Source organism: Homo sapiens, chromosome 8 (genome assembly GCF_000001405.40).
Source record: "Homo sapiens chromosome 8, GRCh38.p14 Primary Assembly".
Taxonomy (NCBI): domain Eukaryota; kingdom Metazoa; phylum Chordata; class Mammalia; order Primates; family Hominidae; genus Homo; species Homo sapiens.
Window position 1 is genome coordinate 85,608,126 of NC_000008.11, and position 24,475 is coordinate 85,632,600.

Here is a 24,475-nt window from a genome sequence, read left to right on the forward strand (position 1 = left end):
CACCTGGCTGGGCACAATGGCTCATGCCTGTAATCCTACCACTTTCACAGGCTGAGGCAGGCGGATCACGAGGTCAGGAGATCGACACCATCCTGGCTAACACGGTGAAACCCCGTCTCTACTAAAAATACAAATAATTAGCTGGCCATGGTGGCACTTGCCTGTAGTCCCAGCTACTTGGAAGATTGAGGCAAGATAATTGCTTGAACCCAGGAGGCGGAGGTTGCAGTAAGCCAAGATTGCGCCACTGCACTCCAGCCTGGGTGACAGAGTGAGACTCTGTCTCAAAAAAAAAAAAAAAAAAGAAAGAAAGAAAAAAATCACCTGTGCTTCATATATCAGAATATGATTAAATATAGCTACAGTTATTGAGAGCCAACTATATAGCTAATGCTTTGTGAATGTTATTTTTAACCTGCATGAAATTCTACAAAGGAAATATTATTATTATTTTATGGATATGAAAACTGAGACTCGGAGGATAAGTAATTTGACAAGGTGAAGCAACACAGTCAAGCCAGTTATCCATTCTCACATCTGCTTAACACAAACCCAATGCCCTGTCCATTGTTGCAGCCCTGTACTTTCACCATGAAGTGATAGCACTGCAGTGTCCAGCGGGGTAGTGACTAGCCACACATGCCTATTGACTAGAAATGTGGCCAGGTCAAATCGAGACTAAAACACACGCTGGATTTGGAAGACTTAATACCAAAAAAAAGGAATGTAAAATATCACATAAATTATTTTTATGTTGACCATATGTTGAAATAGTTGAAAATATCTTGAATAAATATTTGAAATAATATTTTGAATATATTGGATTAAGTATGTTATTAAATGAATTTTCCTTATTTCTTTTTCCCTTTTTAAAATGTGGCTATTGGAAAATTTGAAATTACCTATGTGTCTCACATTTGTGGGTTACGTTGTATTTCTACCGGGCAGCACAGCTTTGGAAAATGGTGTAAATTTCTTACTCAGTATATCTCATGTTACCTTTTATTTATTTTGCTTTTACTCTTTTTTTTTTTTAAGACAGACTTTTGCTCTGTCACCCAGGCTGGAGTACAGGTGTGATCTCAGCTCACTGTAACCTCCGCTTCCTGGGTTCAAGTGATTCTCCTAACTCAGCCTCCCAAGTAGCTAGGACTACAGGACACACCACCAGACTCAGCTAATTTTTGTATTTTTAGTAGAGACGGGGTTTTTTGCCTTTTTGGCCAGGCTGGTCTGGAACTCCTGGCCTCAAGTGATCTGCCTGCCTCAGCCTTCCAAAGTGCTGGGATTACAGGCGTGAATCAATGTGCCCGGTCTCATTTTTTTTCTTAAAGACTGTAAAGCTACATGTGTGGTCATTACCTAGCTGCAGAAAACTTTTATTGGATTCACTAGCAATGTCTTTCTCCCTGAAGACTCGAATCAGAGGATTTGTAACTTGCTGAGTGCTTGAAAGGCTTTTGGCTACTACAGAATTTCATTGCTGCCTGAATAGAATTTAAGTGCTTTCAAACAAGGGCCAATTCTCGCTTTCTGTTTTATATTATTTCCACAGTTGTCAAATGTATTGGGAGATAGTTAATGAGCATTTTATTGCCTTTTAAAATCAGTTGGTACAGATGGGTTGAGTAGGACGGGAGCTGAAGGCTCAAAGCAAAACACTATCCCATCTCCTTTTCAATGCCAAAGAGACATTGCAAATTATTGTCATTAAATCCCAGATTCACCAAAATTGTTTTTATTCCAGAAAAATGTTTATTGATACCGCCCTCCTGCTTATCTCCAACACTCTCTCTATGCCCCTTGACTTCTGAGGGTGTCATTATCTACACTCTGAAGAGACACAGGTATCTGGCTAAACTCATTCAAAATCTCCCTGCCTTCCCCCTTAGTCCCAACCACTTAGGGAAACAATCTTATCAGAGTAACATTTTAAAAAGGGAAAAGAAAGGAGAAGCAAAATATATTCAGTCTAATTTAGCTTCTCTGATTTCTAGATTAGAATATACAGATGCCCCTAGACTTAAGATGGGATTATACCCCAAAAAACCCATCATAAATTGAAAATATTTTAAGTCAAAAATGCATTTAATACACCTAACCTACTGAACACCATAGCTTAGCCCAACCTACCTTAATTATGCTCAGAACATTTACATTAGCCTGCAGATGGGCAAAATCATCTAACACCAAACCTATTTAATAATAAAGTGCTGGCCAGGCACTGTGGCTCACACCTGTAATCTCAGCACTTTAAGAGACTGCGGGAGGAGGATCACTTGAAACCAGGAGTTCGAGGCCAGCCTAGGCAACATAGTGAGATCCCATCTCTACAAAAAGTAAAAAATTAGCCAAGTGTGCTGGTGTACACCTATACTGGAATCTGAGGATAATTTCTTAATCCCAAGCATTCCAGGCTACAGAGAGCTATGATGGCACCACTGCATTCTAGCCTGGGTGACAGAGTGAGACCCTGTCTCAAAAAAATTAAAAAAAAACAACAGTATTCAATATCTTATGGAATTTATTGAATACTATACTGAAAGTGAAAAACAGAATGGTTATATGGATACCTGAAGTATGATTTCTACTAAATGCATGTTGCTTTTGTACCACCATAAAGTTGAAAAAATCATGTGGAACCATTGTAAGTCCAGATTGTCTGTAATTAACACATATTTCTATCAATGAAGACGCTTTCAGTTGAAAATTATAGAATATAAATTGAGTACATAACAACATCACAATAAATCTTTTTACCTTTTAGGATAATACATAGAATCTTTCCTGAGAAAATCCATTCCAGGCTATTTAATTAGGGCCAATCCTGCATCCAATCCCAAGTTACAGGGTCTGGATTTAGCCAGACATGACCAGTCAAATTATCTCTTATTTCTGGTCACAGTAATTGGTTCTGCAATGACATCTGAAACAAGCTGAGCCAATTAGATCCTTCCTAGGATGTTTTATAAAAACTACTGGGAAAGACCATTTCTTTCTGTGAATAGGATATGCGTCTAGAGATGCTGGTGGCTATCTTTCCCACCACAGGAAGGGGCTTATCTGGAAATACAGAGTTAGCAACCTGAAAATATCATTTGATTCCGTGGATTTAACTGTGCCCAAAACCACATATGCCCTATTACATATGTCCATGTTCTCTTTTCTTTTTAAATAGGTATGAAGTGGATTCTGTTACTTTATCCCAAAAGAGTCTTGGTTGACACAAAATTGATATTCAGAGTGGAATGTCATAGGTGACAAACACCAAAACATGAAATAAACTCAACTGAGTTGCAATTGCAATGAAGCACAAAGAAGAACTTTTACCATCATTTTGGAAGATGGCAAGTCTTATTAGGGTGTGTTTATGTCAGCTGACTGTGAGCCAAAGTAGCAAATGTAGTAAATCATGTTTGCTTGTTTCTGCTTGCCAACGTAGTTTCATAAAGCCCCTGACTCTGACAACCTGCAGCTCTTCAGAGGGATGCTTTGAAGACAAAACAGGATAGAGCATATGGCCCCCACGTCTCTTGCCTGAGTCACTATACTCTTTAAAAGATAAATGACCCTAGTTCTTGCCTTTTCCTATACATAAGATAGCATCTGTCAGGCATAGTGACTATGCCTCCATAACCAGATGTACTCTTACACCCAAACTTTGCTATGATTTTGAACATACTGAACCCCTACTACCTGTGTATAAGCTGTGAGCTAAAGCACCATTTTGGAGGAGTCTGACAAAACCTCTCTGAAGAATTCCTCCTGGGCTCTAGTCTTCAGTCAACAGTCCTCAGCAAGACTTCTGCATGAAACTAATTTTTTGAGAGCTCGATTTTTTTTTAATTTAGTCAACAAACTAATTTAACAGTTACTTGTATCTTGTAACATAGGTCATATTATCACTGAGGTTAGAGCATTAGGAGACAGGAACAATATCAGGATGTTGGAGTGTGTTAATCATTTTTTACAGCTATTAGTAAAGTTCTAAAAAAGGTAAGTATCTAAAAACAGACACATCTGGAAATAGAACCAGCATGCAGCCATGCTAAGGAAGTCCTTGTTGCTTACAGGCCAGACTTCAAAATCTCGGAGAGCCAGATAATCATGGACCCTGGGGGATTTAAGAAGCTGAATTTTCTGGCCCACGTTGTTTAAAGTTAGTATTAGCAAAGACAGGGAAGCAGGAAGCACAGAGGAAAATAAGTTTTGGACACAGGAAGGACCAAAGAATTAGCTGAGTTCTGTTTACTGAGGGCCGCCAAACACTTTGCTGAATATTCTTGGCTCCCACAAAAGAATAATTATCTCCAATATAAGGCACTATCCCATGGAATGAAGCCTGGGTATAGGATGTAGCAGAGCCCAGCCTCATTAGTGTAACCCATGGGTTTGTATTAGCAGGCCAAGGTGAATGTTAGGCTAAAGGTAAGTATAGCGGCCAGTTGAGAATTGACAGATACAAGGTAGAGTCCAGATTCAAGTGTCACATCCTGGCCTTGGTTTCTAACCCACACAGTCTCAAGAATTCAATTTAGTCATCACTAAGATGAGACATTAAGGAAGTTGGGAGATCCAAGGAAACCCAAGGCTGGTAACCAGGCTGTTCAAACCTGAGGCCATCTCCAAGTTCCTGAACCTACAATGATAGGAATTGTTAAAACAGAATGTTCCCCAGAAGAGGAAGCTCTCAAATGCACCTCACATAAGAAACTGTGACAGGTAATAGGAAAAGGAAATCCTCTCAGGGAGTGAAACTGGAAGCAACCAGATTAGCTGGCCAAGAAACTCATTCCTTTGCCAGGGCAGGGAGTCTCTGCTTTCCCCATCCAATGGGATACGGTACATGCCACAGACGGAGACCTCTACATGTTGTTTAGCCTTCTCCCCTTTTCTAAATGGGAACTTTTGTTAAGAGTTTTGCTGGATGGGCTTATCAGTAAGCTAAAGTTGTTAAATATTCATTTGGACTAACCAAAATAAAATGTATATCATTCAGATATCTTGGAATTGGGTGCAGTAACTAGATGGACTTCGGGTTGTTTCAACTTGCAGAATGGATGAATGCCCTTTCAGTTTCATACTGGTCAAATGCAGGAATTTCTGAAATTGCATGCATTGAGAAAAAGATATATATATATATAAACGCCATACAGCTAAGAGTTAGAATGTAGTCGACATCTGTTATTTCTACCTGCCCAGTACCCATTCTCATTTCTGTTGATAATATAATATCTTCCTTGAGGAGCTGTAATAGAATTAGTGGGCTTTTACCACAGAATATTTGTCTAGATCATGACCTCTATAAAAACATTTGTTTAACACTACAGATAAATAAATTTAAGTGGTAAATATGAACTATTTCTGACACAACTGAAAAAGGCATAAGCTATGATGTGGCAGGAGTTTCTGAGTCTTCTTCAGGTATTCTGATTTTACTATACCTCTATAGATTAGTAAATGACTTATATTAACAATTTATGAAGCAGATCTTCCGTTTGAAACTAACACCTGAACAATTACACATCCTTTACAGGTATCTATTTCAGATGTTTCAGGTGGAGATGGCCCACAGTTTCCCAGCCTCAGAAATGAGTATGTGACTTGACCTAGCCACTTAAAGTGTCCCATAATCCAGAGACATTCAGAGATTGGATTTAACCAAAACTATGCTAAGTTGACCCCTCCTAGCCACTTTTCTGCCAAAACAATAAGAAAAGACATTCATTGTCTTTCCAGAACTTTAAGCTGTAAGAAATGCATCTGGGGCTGCTGGCAGCAATCTTTTCTGCTGTATGGAGAAAGCTTTGTTTATTGAGCACCTATTAGGTGTTAAATATTGTGCTACATCTATTCTATGGAAATAGAGTTGTAAAAAAATGAATCTAGTCTGTGCAATCAAAGAGCCAATAGTCTGGAATATTAGTGATAAGCTCTGTATCAGCCAGATATAAATATTGAATGAATGTGTCTATCAGTGTTCAGTTGCAGAGAACTGAATTCACACTAGCTGGTTTAAGCAGAACAGAATATTGACAATGGATTTTATAATTACCAAAAGAAGAAACTCACCACAAGAAAGAGTCTTTTCTGGGCTGATAACCTGGCTCCAATGCCAAGGCCCTGGGTGTCAGAGAAAAGGACTGGAAGGGCAGTGTAGCTGTGCTGGACTCAGCTTGCCTTGAATAAAATGACCCTGTTTGGAATTCAGGAGCTGAGCACTAAAAGCAATCCCAGTTGGGAATATCAACCCACTTTGGCACAGAATATCACAGTTCAATTGTTCCACTGGGGATAGAAGATCTCTGTGTACTCTGAAAAAGTATTGCAACATAAGAAGCAGACCTTGGCTAATGGACTGATCATATTTCCTTGTTTCTTGTCCTTTGAAACTTTTGGGTCCTTTGACCTAAGTAAGCACTTTGGGAAGAGAAATGTATTCCTCAAAAGAGATGCCTGAGTCATACTCTAGACCACTTAAGTCCAGTCTTCGAAAGGCATAGATGAAAACTCATTATCTTTTCAAAATGCTTCCAAGGTTAAAAACAACTGGGTTAAATAATCACAAATTAAAACCATATCATGTGCTTTCTTTCCTTGTCTTTCTCTACAAGCCTCAAATCCTTCTCAGGTGCTAAAATGTGGATTTTGTCAATGAATTTGTACTAAGAATTTAGCTTCTTTCAGTTATGCTTATATTCATTTATTCTTTTGTTCAACATTCTATAAACAACATGAATGCTAGTCCTACTTCCTAACTAGATGCTTCAAATAGAGTGACAAACAAAATATAGTCTGTAGCTCTCCAGGAACCCAGGAGGTTTCTTCCACCTACCTCCATGCTAGATGGAACTGCATGCCCATTCATGTCTCTCAGACCTCATCAGCTCTATAAAAAATAAAATCCATTGACATAAAGTTTATTCCTAAGTGCTTTTTTCTTCAAGAAATACAACTAATTTTTCATGAGATTTCCAGCATTTCCTGTGTCAGCTGAGTTTGGAATAACTTGAACTCTGATGACCCTTGTATCCCAATATATTCTCTTTTTGTCTGTCTAGTTCAGAATAATCAGAAAGACAAACAAAAAATCATGCCTATTCACATTCGTTCCAAATTTTTAATATTTCTAAGGAAATATTAAGGCTAAATTTCTTTATTCAAAAGCAGCTCACTTTTCTTTGTTAGGTAACTGAATTATGTTTAGGATTCTAAAAAAGAGGAAAACTAAAAACTAGTCTAGAGCCTTTGATTTGGAGGCTATTGTTTGCAGGTGATTTTAAAATGTATTTTTTAAAGCCCCATTATGTTTCACTAAGGACAGTTTCTCTGGTTTCCATAGTGATATTCAAAATGAGTGTAGGTGCAATCAAAGAGAATGATCACATTAATAAGTGGTTTAGCATTTCTGTTGAATATGAACTTTGCCCAATATTTTAAAACAATTGAGCTATTTTTTAAGTCCTCATTCCATAATGGATACATTTGCCAGACATGCTAAACCATCTATTAATGCAATCAGATGTCTCCTTTATGAAATGAGTAACAAAGCCCACTTTGCTTGAAACTTAAAAGAGTTTCAAAGATATTGAAAGTTATTCTGGTTATATCTTGCATTTTTTAAAGATCCTATGAATAATTACTTCAGGCAATTATTCAGAAAGCACTTTTTAAGTAACTGTGTCCAATGGCATAATAAGACGGGTAGGGATGAGAGGTGTGAGCAGATACAAACTGGGTACAGGGTTTACATCATTTTCAAGCTATCAATGAAACCCAGCCAGTGGTTCTATTTGGAAGCTAATTTCCACTATGGTAACAACCAAAGTCAACATATGTAATGTAGGGAGTAAAAAATCATTGAACTAGCTCATAAAACCCTCAGGATGCTCTTTTCCTCCATCTATGTACTATGTGGGATTGACTCAATTAGGGGCCAGACACCTGTTGGGTCTAATCAATTATTATTGAGTTATTTTAGGAACAAATAGAATCCACAAGATGTCTTATGACACTTACTCAGTAAACAATGGTTTTCCCCAGCTGCTGTCCAAAAATTCTCATGAATTAAATTAACAATAGTCCTTAGGAGAAAATTTAAAAAAACAAAACAAAACAAGATTTAAAAACCCCAACTGCACTAGCCAACTGAGAGAAAAATAAACAGTAGCAGATTAGCAGAAGAATCTAATTCAACTTTAGAGGTAAGTACCTTCAAACACCAGAGGGATAATGAAAATAGCCCTTTACTGTAATTGAATGTATTTCTTTGAATTCATTATTATTTTATGCAGTTACCCCTTTCTTTCCATGATCATCTTTATCAGAACACCTGAAATTTTTTTTTAACATTTAATTTTTATTTTCAAAACATTGCCATAAACATACATACAACACTGAATTTTATCCCCTCCATTGGCTGGCTGTGTGCCATGAAGCACTTGTGACAGAAAACATATGTAAGCTTAGGGTAAAAGTTTATAAGGAATCAAAATATCTTCCCAAAAGAGGGGGTAGAGGCAAGAGGAATCAATAAGTTTAAAAATCATAACTTTCATTTTATAAAAAATAGTTTGAATAATTTTCTTATAAATCTTTAATGCTTACAAAAGCAGGAAATACATTTAAAATAGTCTTTTTAACACAGATTCATTTGTACAATGTGGCCATAAGAAAAATAACTAAAATGACATTTCAGTAGTCTATATTCTATTCTTGGCAAATTCCACATAAAATTTAACTAATTTACTATTCAAAATAAGATTTTAACTGCCAAGGATGTCAGACTAGTTGTGGTTAGTACCTGAATACCAAGCTCTTCTCCATTTTATATATTGTACTAAAATTTTAAATACAGCTTAGCAGTGATAGGTACTAATAACAATACTTGACTACATGGTTACCACCCATGACTACTGCATTGCAGCTTAAAACATGCTTTGGTCAGTAAATTTAAAAGATATAAATCAAATAACAAGGCCAGGAAAGTTGTTTTAGAATTTCTTGACCTTAAGTAAACTTTAAATACATCGACAAGGCAAAAAAAAAACATGATCAAATATACAGAAAGGTTTCTATTTTTTCAACCATATGGCATTTTATATTATTAATTTCACTGTTTAAAATAATATTTTATACTCCTGTGCACAGATTATCATTGCTCTCCAAATTAAAACTAAACTACAATTACTTTCCTAGAATGTCAAGTACTGTATATATTAATTGCTCCTTTTGCATTTCCATGAAGATGATCCTTCATCCTGTAACTTTTTAAATTTTGGACCAAGAAAGAACCACCAACCAAATCCAATGAAAACACAAATAATGGACTCCACATAATAACCATCCAGGGCTGTAACACATGAGCCACCCAGTTTTTTGCAAAGCTTTAAAAATAAAGCTATAGTAAATAATCCACAATTTCACAATGAAAGTATTTAGCAATTAACATGCTTCTACTTTAAAAAGAATTAATCAAAATATATTTTTCTTAAAACATTTCAGTATTTCACTGAATTCCAATGACAAAATATGTTAATGTATCTTAATCTCTCTAATGCTACTAACAGGATTAAAAACAATTTTCAGTTCTTGCTGTAAACAATACTCATTTTCTTTTTTGAGGCAGGGTCTCACTTGTGGCCCCGGATGGAATGCAGTGGTGTGATAATGGCTCACTGCAATCTCTGGCTCCTGGGCTCAAGCAATCCTCCCACCTCAGACTTCTGAGTAGCAAAGACCACAGGCGTGCACCACCATGCCCCATTAATTTCTATATTTTTTGTAGAGATGATGTTTCACTATGTGGCCCAGGGTGGTCTTGAACTCCTGGGCTCAAGCAATCTGCCTGCTTCAGCCTCTCAAAATGCGGAATTACAGGTGTGAGCCACCACACCCAGCCGAATATCTGTTTTCTTTCTTTTTTTTTTTTTTATTATACTTTAAGTTTTAGGGTACATGTGTACAACATGCAGGTTTGCTACATATGTATACATGTGCCATGTTGGTGTGCTGCACCCATTAAATCATCACTTACATTAGGTATATCTCCTAATGCTATGCCTCCCCACTCCACCCACCCCACAACAGGCCCTGGGGTGTGATGTTCCCCTTCCTGTGTCCAAGTGTTCTCATTCAGAACACCTGAAATTTTAAAATAAGGTAGTCCAGACTTCCATCTGTTATTTATCACATTTTTGTATTTACCTGTGGTGATGAGTTTGAGATAAGTACATTTAACACTCTGACAGTTTTACATCAGCATAGGTCTTGCACACTGGTTGTCAAATAAATACATGCTATGGGCTGAGTTTGGAGAGAAGAACGTTCAAAGTGTGTTGATTGTATGTTGATAACTTTTTCTAGTTGTTTAGATATTGATGACACTCTTTCAGTATTCTGGGTTGAGCATTTAGTTATAAAGTGTGCCCAAGGTGGATTAAGACTGGAGCATAAGCATTATTCTCAAATGGTTAAGAGGTCTCTGCGTCCTTTTAAAGATCCAGGATCAATCAATGTATCATCTATCTATCTATCCATCTGTCCATCCAGTGGGATATTTATTGAGTATATGTTGTGTGCTTTCATTGTACTTGGCATTATGAAGGGGAAAATAGACCTGGTCTCTACTTTCATTTATGTAGCGATAGACCTAAATCAAACAGCCTTGATCATTGAAAAAGTGTTTTACAAAGGAGAAATAGGTATTAACAGTGGTAATGGGTCTGTGTAAGGAAGGAATTTAACTCAACAGGATGACAGAGAAGACCCTCAGAAGAAGGGAAGCATGAAATGGGAGCTGAAGGAGGAGGAGTTAATAGAAAGATGGCTAGATAAAGGTGAAGAGAGAAGTAGAGGTAAAACCATGTAAGTGCTTGTAGTCCATATTAAGACATTCTATCAGTATCTCAATAGCCATCAGTATTAATGGCCGTTGAAAAATCTACCGAGATGTGGGTGGACATTGCCAGATTTTTGTGTTATTGTTAGTAAATGTTTCCTTTCATCTCTGGCAATACTTCTAATCTTGAAGTCTAGTTTGTTAGATATTACAGCCACTCAGCCTTCTTTTAATTGGTGTTTACATAATATATACATTTGCTATTATTTTGCTTTTAAGCTGTCAATATATATCTTTTGTAAACAGCATGGGATTGGGTCTTGGTTTTTAATGTAGTGTGACAATTTCTACCTTTTGATTAGAGAGTTTAGTATTATTGGCACAATTAGGGTTAAGGCTATGGTCTTGCCATTTGTTTTCTATTTGTTCCATCTGTTTTCATTTATTGTTTTTTTTTCTTTCCTTTTTGGGATTATTTTTTACACTTCTATTTTAGTTCATTTATTGGCTTTTCAGTTTTTCTTTTATGTGTTTACACTAGGAATTATAAAATGTATCCTTTATGTATTATGGTCTATTATATATTGGTACTATATGATTTAATATTAAATGTAAGAACTTTACAACCATATATTTCCACTTACTGTTTCTCATATTTTGTGATATTTGCTTCCATTCTGTAATAAGTCTCACAATACATTGTTATTATCTTCACTATAAATAATCAATTATATTTTAAATTAATTAAGACATAGGAAAAAATCTATATTGCCTGCATATTTACCATTTCTTGCATTATTCATTCTGTTGTATAGATCTGGGTGTGTAAATGGTTTCATTTTCTTTCAGACTGAAGATTTTTCTTAAAAATATTTCAAAATGTATGAAGCAAAATCTTACAAAATGGAAGACAGAGATAGACAAATTCACAATTACAGTGGAAAAATTTACTTTTCAACCTTACTTTTTCAATAATTAATAGAAAATGGTGACCAAAAATGGGTAAGGGTATGAAAGATTTGAGCAACATTCATTATCACTGGCCATCAGAGAAATGCAAATCAAAACCACAATGAGATACCATCTCACACCAGTTAGAATGGGGATCATTAAAAAGTCAGGAAACAACAGGTGCTGGAGAGGATGTGGAGAAATAGGAACACTTTTACACTGTTGGTGGGACTGTAAACTAGTTCAACCATTGTGGAAGACAGTGTGGCGATTCCTCAAGGATCTAGAACTAGAAATACCATTTGACCCAGCCATCCCATTACTGGGTATATACCCAAAGGATTATAAATCATGCTGCTAGAAAGACACATGCACACGTAGGTTTATTGCGGCACTATTCACAATAGCAAAGACTTGGAACCAACCCAAATGTCCATCAATGATAGACTGGATTAAGAAAATGTGGCACATATACACCATGGAATGCTATGCAGCCTTAAAAAATGATAAGTTCATGTCCTTTGTAGGGACAGGGATGAAGCTGGAAACCATTATCCTTAGCAAACTACCACGAGGACAAAAAACCAAACACCACATGTTCTCACTTATAGGTGGGAATTGAACAATGAGAACACACGGACACGGGAAGGGGAACATCACACACCAGGGCCTGTTGTGGGGTGGGGGGTGGGGGAAGGGAAAGCATTAGGAGATATACCTAATATAAATGACGAGTTAATGGGTGCAGCACACCAACATGGCACATGTATACATATGTAACAAACCTGCAAGTTGTGCACATGTACCCTAGAGCTTAAAGTATAATTTAAAAAAAGAAAGATTTGAGCAACACTGTCAATCAATTTGACTCATTAACATTTGTAGAAAATATGCTCAACAATACAGAATACCCATCCTATTCAAGGGCATGTGAAACAATCACTAAGAAGGTAATATATTAAGGCATAAAACAAATCCCAATAAAATTAAAATATGAAAATTATACACAGTATATTATTTTACCATAACAGAATTCAATTATAAATTAATAACAAAAAGATACTCGAAAAATACCAAATATATGGAAATCAAACAATCTATGGGTCTAACAAGAAATCACAATAAAGTTAGAAAATTTTTTGAACTAAGTGATGATGAAAATAAAGCATATCAAAAACATGTGAGATACAGCTAAAGCAGTGGTTAGGGAACATTTATAGCTTTAAATGCTTATATTAGGGAAAAAATTCTAAAATCAGTAATCTATGCTTCCATCTTAAGAATCAGAAAAAAATCAAGAACAAATTAAAGCCAAAATATGTAAGAAAATAGAAACAAGAAAGATGAAAGTAGAAATCAATGAAATAGTAAACGGACAAGTTAACAAAGTCTTAAAAATAATTTTTGAAAAGACTGATAACATTGAAAACATTGTGATACCATTTTCACATTTGAGTTTTAAAATTTTCAGGTAATTTAAATTTTATGTAAAGTTCACAACCACATATTCCTCATATCAGTGTGTTGTAATTTGTTACTAATAAAAAAATTACCAAAATTTTAAATGACATTTTAATAATTAGAGCTTATTCAAGTTTATTCCTACAATGTTATTCTCACCAAATTCCATTAGTACATGCTTTTCTGAAAGAGAAGAAAAGAATGACACCATAAGGTGTACTTTGTGGGTTGTATATAACCGTAGATATCCCCATGAGAATGTCTCAAATTTGAATATCACTTGGCATGCTTGATAGAAGTAAGGGGGAAAAAAAAAGCTAAGAATCATTTAAGTAGCTCAGCTAATAAAAGTCTCTATATTAGAACATGAATATTTGTCCAAAAGTTACATGGAATAAAATCACAGAAAAATGATCAAGAACATGATAAAAGGGTTGAAATAAACCAAGAGTCAATGTGCATTAGGCCATTCTTGCATTGCTATAAAGAAACACCTAAGACTGGGTAATTTATAAGAAGAGAGGTTGAGTTGGCTCATGGTTATGCAGGCTTTATAGGAAGCATAGTGTCATCTGCTTCTGGGGCGGCCTCAGGAAGCTTTAACTATGGCAGAAGGTGAAGCAAGAGCAGGCAGTTCACACGGTGAAACCAAGAGCAAGAGAGACATAGTGGTGCTGGTGGGGAGGTGGGGAGTGCTACACACTTTTAAACAACCAGATATCATGTGAACTCAGGGGAAGAGCTCACTTATCACCAAGGAAATGGCTCAAACCATTTATTCATGAGGGATCCACCCCCATCATCCAAAAACCTCCCACCAGGCTCCACCTCCAGCAATGGGGATTACTTTTCAACATAAGATTAGGGCGGAGACAAATATACAAACTGTACCACAAGGTCTGTTGGCACTTGCATCCGTTTCTTTGTGTGAATCCATTAGAACCTATTCCACGGTTGCAAAAGAGTTATTTCTAAAAAATAAACTCTGCCCTTTAAGTTGAGAAATGTTTTGTTTTACAGGGATCTTTCTAAAACTTCAGATAGCAAATTTCTAAGCAGCGTCAGAATCTTTCAGGATGACGTAAATTAAACATAATTATATTTCTTAAATAAATGTTTCCATTGTTTCATTCCTAAGCATTATATATATATTTATATATGATAGATATTTTTATATATGTATATATATATATATACATATATATATTTCTAGGTGCTGTTTTTGAATGAAGAAAGACTATGATTATTTTACCTACCCAATGCAGAAGTATGGAAGTAAAATTAATACTATGTCTACGCAAAGATTTCATAAAAACATGTTTGTAGGATAAATTGTGAATCCTTCTAATTCCCTGGCTATTTTCTAGAACATGTGTGTCTTCTATTTATTTGGCAAAAAATGTATGGAGTGCCTACTATATGACAGACACTGTGCTAAGTGTTTGGGATGCATCACTGATGAAACAGATTTCTCTCCTCATGGAATTTGAGATTAATTTTCCCAATGCAAAGTTCTAGTCACTTTATAACTCCATTTAAAAACTTTCAGTAGGCTGGGTGAAGTGGCTCATACCTGTAATCCCAGCACTTTGGGAGGCCAAGGCGGGCAGATCACCTGAGGTCAGGAGTTCAAGACCAGCCTGACAAACATGGAGAAACCCCATCTCTACTAAAAATACAAAATTAGTCAGGTGTGGTGGTGCATGCCTGTAATCCCTGTTACTTGGGAGTCTGAGGCAGGAGAATCACTTGAACCCAGGAGGCGGAGGTTGCAGTGAGCCAAGATCGTGCCATTGCACTCCAGCCTGGGCAGGAAGAGCAAAACTCTGTCTCAAAAACAAACAAACAAACAAACAAACAAAATCTTTCAGTTGTTCCCCGGTTTATGCTAAGTTAAAAACAAGCTCCTTAGTCTTTCATTAAGACACGATCTGGCCCAAACTTCCTTCCCATGTTTGCCTCCTGTGTTTTATTTTCTTTGGCTTGATCTTATACTCCAGTGAAACTGGGAGATTCCTACCTTCAGGTTTTCACCTACCCAGAATGTTCCAGGGCCTGTCTTTATTATCATCTTTCTTTTTCCTTTCAGTCTGTCTTATGTTTCCCCTCCATCCTTCCCTTTCTCCCTCCTTTCCTCCCTTCTGATCCTCTGTCCCTTCCTACCTATCCACTCATTTCCTCAGCAAACATAATTGAGTGTCTACAGTGTGCCAGGCACTGTGCTAGATGCTGGGGAGGTAAAGACAGTTTTCTCCTTATTTCCACTTATTGAAATATAAGCAAGCAAGGCTTGAATTTGAGCATTAAATCTAAGTAACACTCTTGAGTGTGGGGCAAGACATGTCACTCAAATGTCTGTCAGCCCAGTTACTGGACACTGACATCCTATAAGCTCCAAGAGCGCAGGGGTCATGTGTGTTGTTCACTTTTTAATCTCCAGTGCTTGGCACATATCCTGGTTATATGGCTGATGTTTACGAGTAATTTTTGAATGAATGAATGAATGAGAACAAACAATAAGACAGTATACTACTTTAGAATAGTAGCAGAAGACAAAATTATTGAACTGCCCAAGATCCTTGAAGAGGCTGAGCATAATGGCTCATGCCTGCAATCCCAGCACTTTGGGAGGCTAAGGAGGGAAAATCACTTGAGCCCAGGAGTTCAAGACTAGCCTGGGAAACATAGAGAGACCTCATTTTTACAAAAAATTTAAAAATTAGCCAGCAGTGGTGGTGCATTTCTGTAGTCCCAGCTATTAGAGAGGCTGAGGTTTGAGGATTGTTTGAGCCTGTGAGGTCAAGGCAGCAATAAGCAGTGCTCATGCCACCTACTGCACTCCAGCCTGGGTGACACACAGAGCAAGGCCTTGTCTCAAAAAAAACAAAAAAATAAGAAGGAAAAGAAAATGCATAAGGAGAGGAAACTTGGAAGCCTTGGAGTTGGAATGATAAAACCAGTTGAGAGTTGAGTTTCAACTCAATGTTCTAGGTAGATGAAACCCTGAGGGTAGGAATCTCCCTGTTTGACTGCAGTATAAGATCATCACAAAGAAAATAAAACACAGGCGGCAAACATAGGAAGGTGGTTTGGGCCAGACTGGACTGTCTTCATGAAAGACTGAGGAGTTTGCTCTTAACTTAGTAAAAACAAGGGAATAACTGAAAGTTTTTAAATGGGGTTATAAAATGGCTAGAAATTGGACTGTTACCCATCTCTGAACTATCCCCAAGCCCAGCAAGTAATGAAAAAGAAAACTTAGAAAACATATTTATTTCAGAGACATATTTCTTGAATCTAAGGCAAAAAAAATGTATCTTTTCAGTTGCACTTCCTTTGATTAGGCAATTAAAATCTCTTTTTTACTTATTTGCTAGGAAACTCAGCTGAATAGTGTTCAACTCTCAAGTCCAGCTAAGCCTCAACTATAAATGCAGGTGCTATGATTTCTCTCATCAGCGTACAGTTAAGACAAAGTGTGATAACTTAAAACATGAGAACTACACAGGTCCAGTTACACAGGAAGAGCTCAATGCATATAGCTGCTCCATATATTCCAGGAACTCTTTATACTCCTGGTGTCTTCAGATAGGACCAACTTGTTTTGGATCCTAGCATCCAGCAATAATAAGTGGCTGGGAACTCCGAAACCAGACTGCCAGGACTTTAACCCTGACTTTGTCCATTTTTATGTAAATTTGAGCGTCAATTAATATTTATCTGCTTATTTTCTTACCTATAAAATAGCTATAATATTACTATTTGCCTCAGAGCACTGTAAAAAATAAGTTAATAGATATAAAAGTCTTGGTAAACAAATAAAAAATAAGTTAAATAGATAAAAAAGGCTTGGTAGATCCGGCACGGTGACTCATGTCTGTAATCCCAGCACTTTGGGAGGCCGAGGTGGGTGGACCACCTGAGGTCAGGAGTTTGAGACCAGCCTGACCAATGTGATGAAAACCCATCTCTACTAAAAATACAAAAATTAGCCAGGTGTGGTGGCATGTGTTTGTAATCCCAGCTACTCAGGAGGCTGAGACAGGAGAATCGCTTAAATCTGGGAGGTGGAGGTTGCAGTGAGCCAAGATAGTGCCATTGCACTCCAGCCTGGGCAACAAGAGAGAAACTCTGTCTCAATAAATAAATAAATACATAAAAGGCTTGGTATACATTCCCAAAACACAGAGAGCATATGATGAACATTAGCTTTTACAAGATTCTTGGCTGTAATCAACAGTCTTCAAAGTGGGAACATCATAATGATTGAGAGCAACAACCCTGGGGTAAAATTGCCTGGATGCACATTATAGGTCTACCACTTCCTAACTTCCTTTGTGAACTCAAACAAATTAATGCCTCTGAGTTTAAATTTCCTCCTCCCTAAAATGAGAATACTAATAGTTCCCATGTCATAAAGTTTTGTGAGTTTTAACTCCAATAACTGATCGTACACTTAAAATAGAATCGGGCATATAAGTATCACTCAGTAAATATTAGCCCTTCTTATAATGAAAAAAAAATGCATACCCTCAAAGTGCTCATAGTCTCATAGGAGGGAGAAAATGAGACATGTAACAAATAATTACAACATACAGTGGTCAGGGCTGATGGGCCTATGCTTAATGAGAGTATAAGACAGACTCCTTTATGTGGCGCTTCAGGGAAATTATCACCTAATTGATAGTTAACCAAATATATTTACTGGGTAGACTATAAGCACTTAATTACCTGATTGGAATAACAAATATTGACGAAGAAGGGGAAACCCCTCTAGAGAAAATAAGCATTTTCTTAGTGGGACATTTTTGTTTTGATCATTAATGACTTAGCTACATTTCATTTATTCTAAGTTTCCTAAAAGATTGTTCAACTGTGCTAATAACAGTGAATCCAGCTCTTGCTTCATAAGAACAGAAAATATGCTTAATTAACAATGCAAATCACAACAGCCCCCCGCCAAGTAACTATGCTATTTTCACAGCTTGCTTCATACGTCTTCTACCAGCCCCTGGTAATTCTTTGTGTATTTTTGTACTCCAGGGGAAATCATGGTTATTGTCTAGGCTGTGTCTAAATAGGTTGCATGTACCCAAGAGTTTGTGCCATTTCTTTACACTCATCAACTTCATCTGTCTACTTTGTTCCTTTTGTTCATTGTATTTTTTTGCCCCTATGACTATGCTGAGAAAGATCAAAGAGCAGATTCCTACTTTGTATGAGTATATTGTTGGGGAGATTGAAATGTAAGTCAGAAAGGTTTAAACCAAAGCCATCAGAGCCCAAGTAAGCCCGACACATGGAGGGGGCTTGCAGTGATGGCTCAGAGTTATCATTAGATAAAGTGACAATGACTGCACTTTGTTCTGTGAATGTGCTGATTAGTAGAAAGTTCTAGTTAATGGAATTGACCATCTGAAAATATAAAAGACTATGCTTGGTTTTTCTATGGTTCTGCTTGTTACTTAACTTTCTTGCTATTTTTCAGTTTAGATTTGGTTTGCAATATATTTTTCTTACGCTTTCTTTACCCTTAGAGAAGAATGCAACAGTTTATATAGTTGCCGTCCATGTGAGTGACAAAAAAGAAATCCAAGAAAATCACACAGAAACTCCCGTCTCCATAAGAGACCAGTATGAAGATTTTATGTCCCAGAAACATCTTGCCAGAAATGTATTCCTACTGGGAATAAAAGCCTGAACCTCAGGGAAGAAAATACTTTATTAATACTTTCTTAAAGATTTTAACGTTAGTCAGTTTTGGATCATTTATGAAGAGCAGCCTTGAGAACATGTTGGTAAGCTTAAGTAACACTGAATTAAAAAGTCACAAAGTAATAATTTTGTAGAAGCTGCATTGGTTGGGATCTTTTTCCATCCCCTTGCCCTGCTTTCCTCTCCAGGCTTCAATCTTAAGAATCCATGCAGCAATAAGACATCTGACAGCAGCTGCAGCCCTCTATCCACCCACATACAAAGGCAGTAGCATTTCAGTCTCCTCATTGACCTGAGTTGAGTTATGTTCTTAGGTGCCACTTGACTTAGGCATAAAAAACATGCCTTTCCCCAAGCCTTAGGACTGAAATATTGGGGAAGGATGGTTTCTATGGGTAATTTAGAGTGTTCTTAACAAGCACAAAATGAGAAATGGGATAGTAGGCACTTAGAATACAGCAAATACATTCTATTAAAAGTGCTAGGAAGTCATTTAACAATCAGTAAACGTGCATTATATGAGGGAGGCACTTAACTGTTGGACATGTAATGCTCTATTAGTATATTGGCTCTCAACAGAAAATAATTTCCCATATTTCCATGTGTTACGATAACAAATAGTGTGAAATAGAATTTTGGTTTCTTCCTTCCACCCTTCAGACCTTTGACAAAAAAATCAGAATCACAGAATATTAGAGCTGGAAAGAATCTGGAGCTTCATTATGGAGCTAGGTACCATTTAATTTAACATAGGGCCAGATTTGCCAAAACATTTTCATCAAGGTCTTCTATGAATAGGAACTGTTTTTTTTTTTTTTTTTTTTTGAGACGAAGTCTTGCTCAGTCGCCCAGGCTGGAGTGCAGTGGCAGGATCTTGGCTCACTGCAAGCTCCGCCTCCCGGATTCATGCCATTCTCCTGCCTCAACCTCCAGAGTAGCTGGGACTACAGGCGCCCACCACCACAGCTGGCTATTTTATTTATTTATTTATTTTTTATTTTTAGTAGAGACAGGGTTTCACCGGGTTAGCCAGGATGGTCTTGATCTCCTGACCTCGTGTTCCGCCCGCCTTGGCCTCCCAAAGTGCTGGAATTACAGGCATGATGAATAGGAACTTAATGAATACGTACATATATTACTAATAAATTATATTCCTCTACTATCCTACCAGTATACTGTCTATATTATAAATGTACATCAAGAAAAGAAATTTCAAAAAAATTTAAAGATGAGATAGATGATATAATATCTTCCTAATCATGATGGTTTCATGTTTTCATTTGCACAACATTTACTTCCTGAGATTCGTAACTAATTATGGTGGATGAAAATCCAAAGTCCAGGTAGTCTCTTGATCATTTCAAATATTTGGGCCAATTCATTTCTAGTACTGGTTAAACTGACTTTTGAAAAAATCCTGTAGTATTGCTGATAAAAAGATGGCAATAAGTTTAAGGAAAGGGTCAAGTCTACTGTTTTCTTTCTTATTTGAATCTGAATTAGTAGTATTTGCTTCATTCTGATTTTTATTTTGTTCTGTTTTTTATCAGAAATCTGTTTAAACCACATGTCCATTCTATAAGTATTATTTTATCTAAAACAAAAAATAGTAAATCCATAAAGCTCCCTGACTGGACACTCATCATCTGCCATTAGAGTAACGACCCTCTGTCAAGAGCCACCCACTCTGTCCTCAGGATGCTTCTCACATCTTAAGTGCTCACTTAACAGTCCAATGAAGGACAAGCATCAATCTATGTATTAGATACTTTTAAAGCCAATTTCGTTCCATTTCTAAGATAAAGATAAAAATAAGTGCTGTTTTCTCCCCACAACCTGGGGCCTGCCTTGAACATTCTCTAGATTAGACCAATCCACGTTGGAGACCAAAGACTAGTGGCATAGGATGTGTACAGGCCAACAACATCTGTTACTACTGGAAGCCAACTGTGCAGCTTGGCTCTATTTGCCCATCAGTAAAAACAGGATTATAAAGTGATTCTCACAGAGTTTTTGCAAGGATTAAGTGAGATAATTATTTTCAGTGCTGAGCAACCTTTTCTGAAGGGACAATAAGTTGTCTTCATTAGGATCTTGTGTGGCCTGAAGTCAGACTACCTAAGCTCAAAGGCTAAGTATCAAGTCTGCTAATGACGGGACCTTGGGCAAGTTACTTACACTTTGCAAGGCCCGGTCTCTTCACGTGTTAAATGGTACAGTAATTCATTAATGGCACAATCTTTTGAGGATTAAGTTAAATAACATTTGTAAAGCTCTTCCTACAGAGCTTGATATAAGGGAGTACTTTATAAGTATTAAATATTGTTTTATTATTATTCTCAGGATCAGTTACAAAAAATGTTTACTAAGTTATTTTCATAATGGATATAACTATATAACCCTTTATAATTATATATAAAATCTCCTTACAATTTAGACTAACTGCATCATATAGAACAGCAGTTATAAGGTGGAGTCTGGAATTCCTTGGGTTTTCTGAAACTCTTTCAAAAGCTCCGGCAGGTCTAAAGCATTTTTGTAATGATACTAAGAAGTTGCATTATTTTTTCACTCTCATTCTTTCATGAATTTACAGTGGAGTTTTCCAAAGGCTACATATGTGATGTTGCAACAGACCTATTCAGCTGGACATTAAAGAATTTGTCAAAATTTCCTTTACATTTTCTTACTAGATTGTTTTTTATTTATAACATATATTTATTTTTCATAAAGATACATTATAAATATAATGGTTTGTTACTGTTTTTAAGCAAACAAGTAAATATGTATTTTCAGTTTTTCTCAGAGTAATTTCCAGTAAGATAAATCTTGACAACTATAACCCACATAAATAAAAATCTGTGGGATTCTTAGTAATTTTTTTAGTAAACAAGTTTCTAAAACCAACAAGTTTGAGAATTGATATAGAAGATTGTCTATGAAGAAAATGGCAATGTTTTTAGCCACTAAAATTAGCCACACAGTCTATTCTTTCAGCCTGAAGGTAGAGCCCAGCTGGGAGGCTGTGGTTAAGCTGGATGCATGAGCCTTCTCCAGGAGACGACTGTGTGATGCTGATGTGAAGCACTGAGCATCCTACCTGGTGAAAAGTGGGGATTGTAGGCCGGGCCTGGTGGTTTACCTGCAATCCCAGAACTTTGGGAGGCGGAGGCAGGCAGATCACTTGAGCTCAGGAGTTTGAGACTAGCCTGGGCAATATAGTGTGACCCTGTCTCTACTAAAAATACAAAAAAATAGCCAGGCATGGTAGTGCGCACTTGTGGTCCCAGCTACTCCAGAGGCTCAGGTGGGAGGACGGCTTGAGCCTGGTAGGTGGAGGTTGCAGTGGGCCAAGATGGTGCCACTGCAGCCTGGGGTGACAGAGGACCCCATCTCAAAAAAAAAAAAAAAAAAAAGCGGGGTTTGTAGCACAGGGTCATGGTGGTTGAAAAGGGACCCAGAAGTGTTGAATGTCTTTCCTAAGGTCACAGTCCGTTAGTGACAAAGCGGGAATACCTAATGGAGTATTTATTCCTTCTCCAAATTTTTATCTGAAGGTGAACTTTTAAATATAAATATTCCAGAGATTCTCACAATTATCTTTCTGTCTTACAATCCCTTGTAAATATAGTAGAAATAAAATAACAAAACATTGTGATCATTATGAAACATTCATTCATTAAATTGTAATTCCATCAATCTTATTGTGACTCTCATCTTACCATTGTCCCTTTTAGCTGGACCTTATAAGATCTATAAATAGAGACATGTTACTATTTTCTAGTTGTAAACAAAGTATACAACTTAAGGATATTTGTCATATTTTGTAGGTCTCTTTAGAGAATTGTTCAACCTAGAATCTGCATTTTCTTCACAAAATGTCTTCTACAAATGTCTCATTGCTCTATTCCTTCACTATCTAGTGCTATTTAGGTCTTTCCTGTTTTTTTCTCCCTCTCTGCCCTTCCTCCCTCCCTCCCTCTTTCCCTCCCTCCCTCCCTTCCTGCCTTCCTCCCTCCCTCCCTCCCTCCCTCCCTTCCTTCCTTCCTGCCTCCAGTCTGCCTTCCTTCCTTCCTTTCTTCTTTCTTTCCTTCCTTCCACTTTAAAATACATCCTATAGGGATAATGGCATATTTCTTCTCTTCTTCATCTCTCATTCTCACATATTAAAGGCCAACTGTAACCTGCCAACTAGCAAAAAATTGTCCTTCTGGACAGAAAAGAAATATCCATTCTGGTTGTACTCTCTAAATGTTTACAAATGAAAGCAGAGAGCTAGTCAGTCAATTCTGTTTGAAATCAGCTTTTCAAGGTGACATGTGGCCTTTTTGTGCTTCAACATGGTAATGGGATAGAATAATTTGCTTCTTTTGGTAGATTTTTCTTTAACGGTAATAGAAACCAACTTTGAGGTTTCACTGTTCCCGTATCAAACTCTTGTAAATTCTAAGGATATTTAAATGGTAACAGCTACGAGACTGCCATGGGAAATTTTGAAGCAGCTTAATCTTTTGCCACAAACAGGCAGTTCCAAAGCAGTAATAATTTAATAATGTTGTTTTGTTTTGCAACTATGATCTGTGGGCTTAATTTTCTTGCAGCCACAAGTTTACTGAATGTGTTTGCTTGTCCCCTGTAGTTTTCTTCCAAGTTATAATTACAGTAATGATTTGTATAAAGTATTTTTTAAGATGTGGGTTCTATCTGCCATGCTTTATGCAGGAAGTCTCAGAGGCAAAAGTAACTGTGAAGTCCGCAGTTTAGCATCATGGTTAGGAGTTGCTGTCAGGCACATCTGAGTTATCATTGTTTCACCAGCCCCTGTTCAATCTTGGGCAGGTCACTTGACTGCCCTCAAACTGTGAACTATAAATTAGGCTTGTAAATAGTTCCTGCATGCTGTTGCTATGCAGATTAAATAAGGCTAGGTTAGTTAATGCCAAGTACAATTTCAACAGCTAATTAGCAATACAGACACATTCGCCATTTTTATTATGTCATAGGATATGGCCTCTAAAGGCAGAGAGAGGGAGAGAATGGAAAAGACTGAATAAACAGAAAAACAGAAAGTTTAGGGCCAGGTGTGGTGGCTCACGCCTGTAATCCCGGCACTTTGGGAGGCTGAGGCGGGTGGATCACCTGAGGTCGAGGGTCGGAGACCAGCCTGATCAACATGGAGAAACCCCATCTCTACTAAAAATACAAAATTAGCCGGGCATCGTGGCACATGCCTGTAATACCAGCTACTTGGACGGCTGAGGCAGGAGAATCGCTTGAATCAGGGAGACAGAGGTTGCGGTGAGCCGAGATCACCCCACTGCTCTCTAGCCAGGGCAACAAAAGTGAAACTACTTCCAAAAAAAAAAAAAAAAAACAACAAAAAAAACTCCCACGGGCACCTCCATGTTAATTAGCAATAGAAGTTAGAAAAATTCACAAGAATTTATGGCCGGGTGCGGTGACTCACGCCTATAATCCTAGCACGTTAGAAGGCCGAGGCAGGTGAAT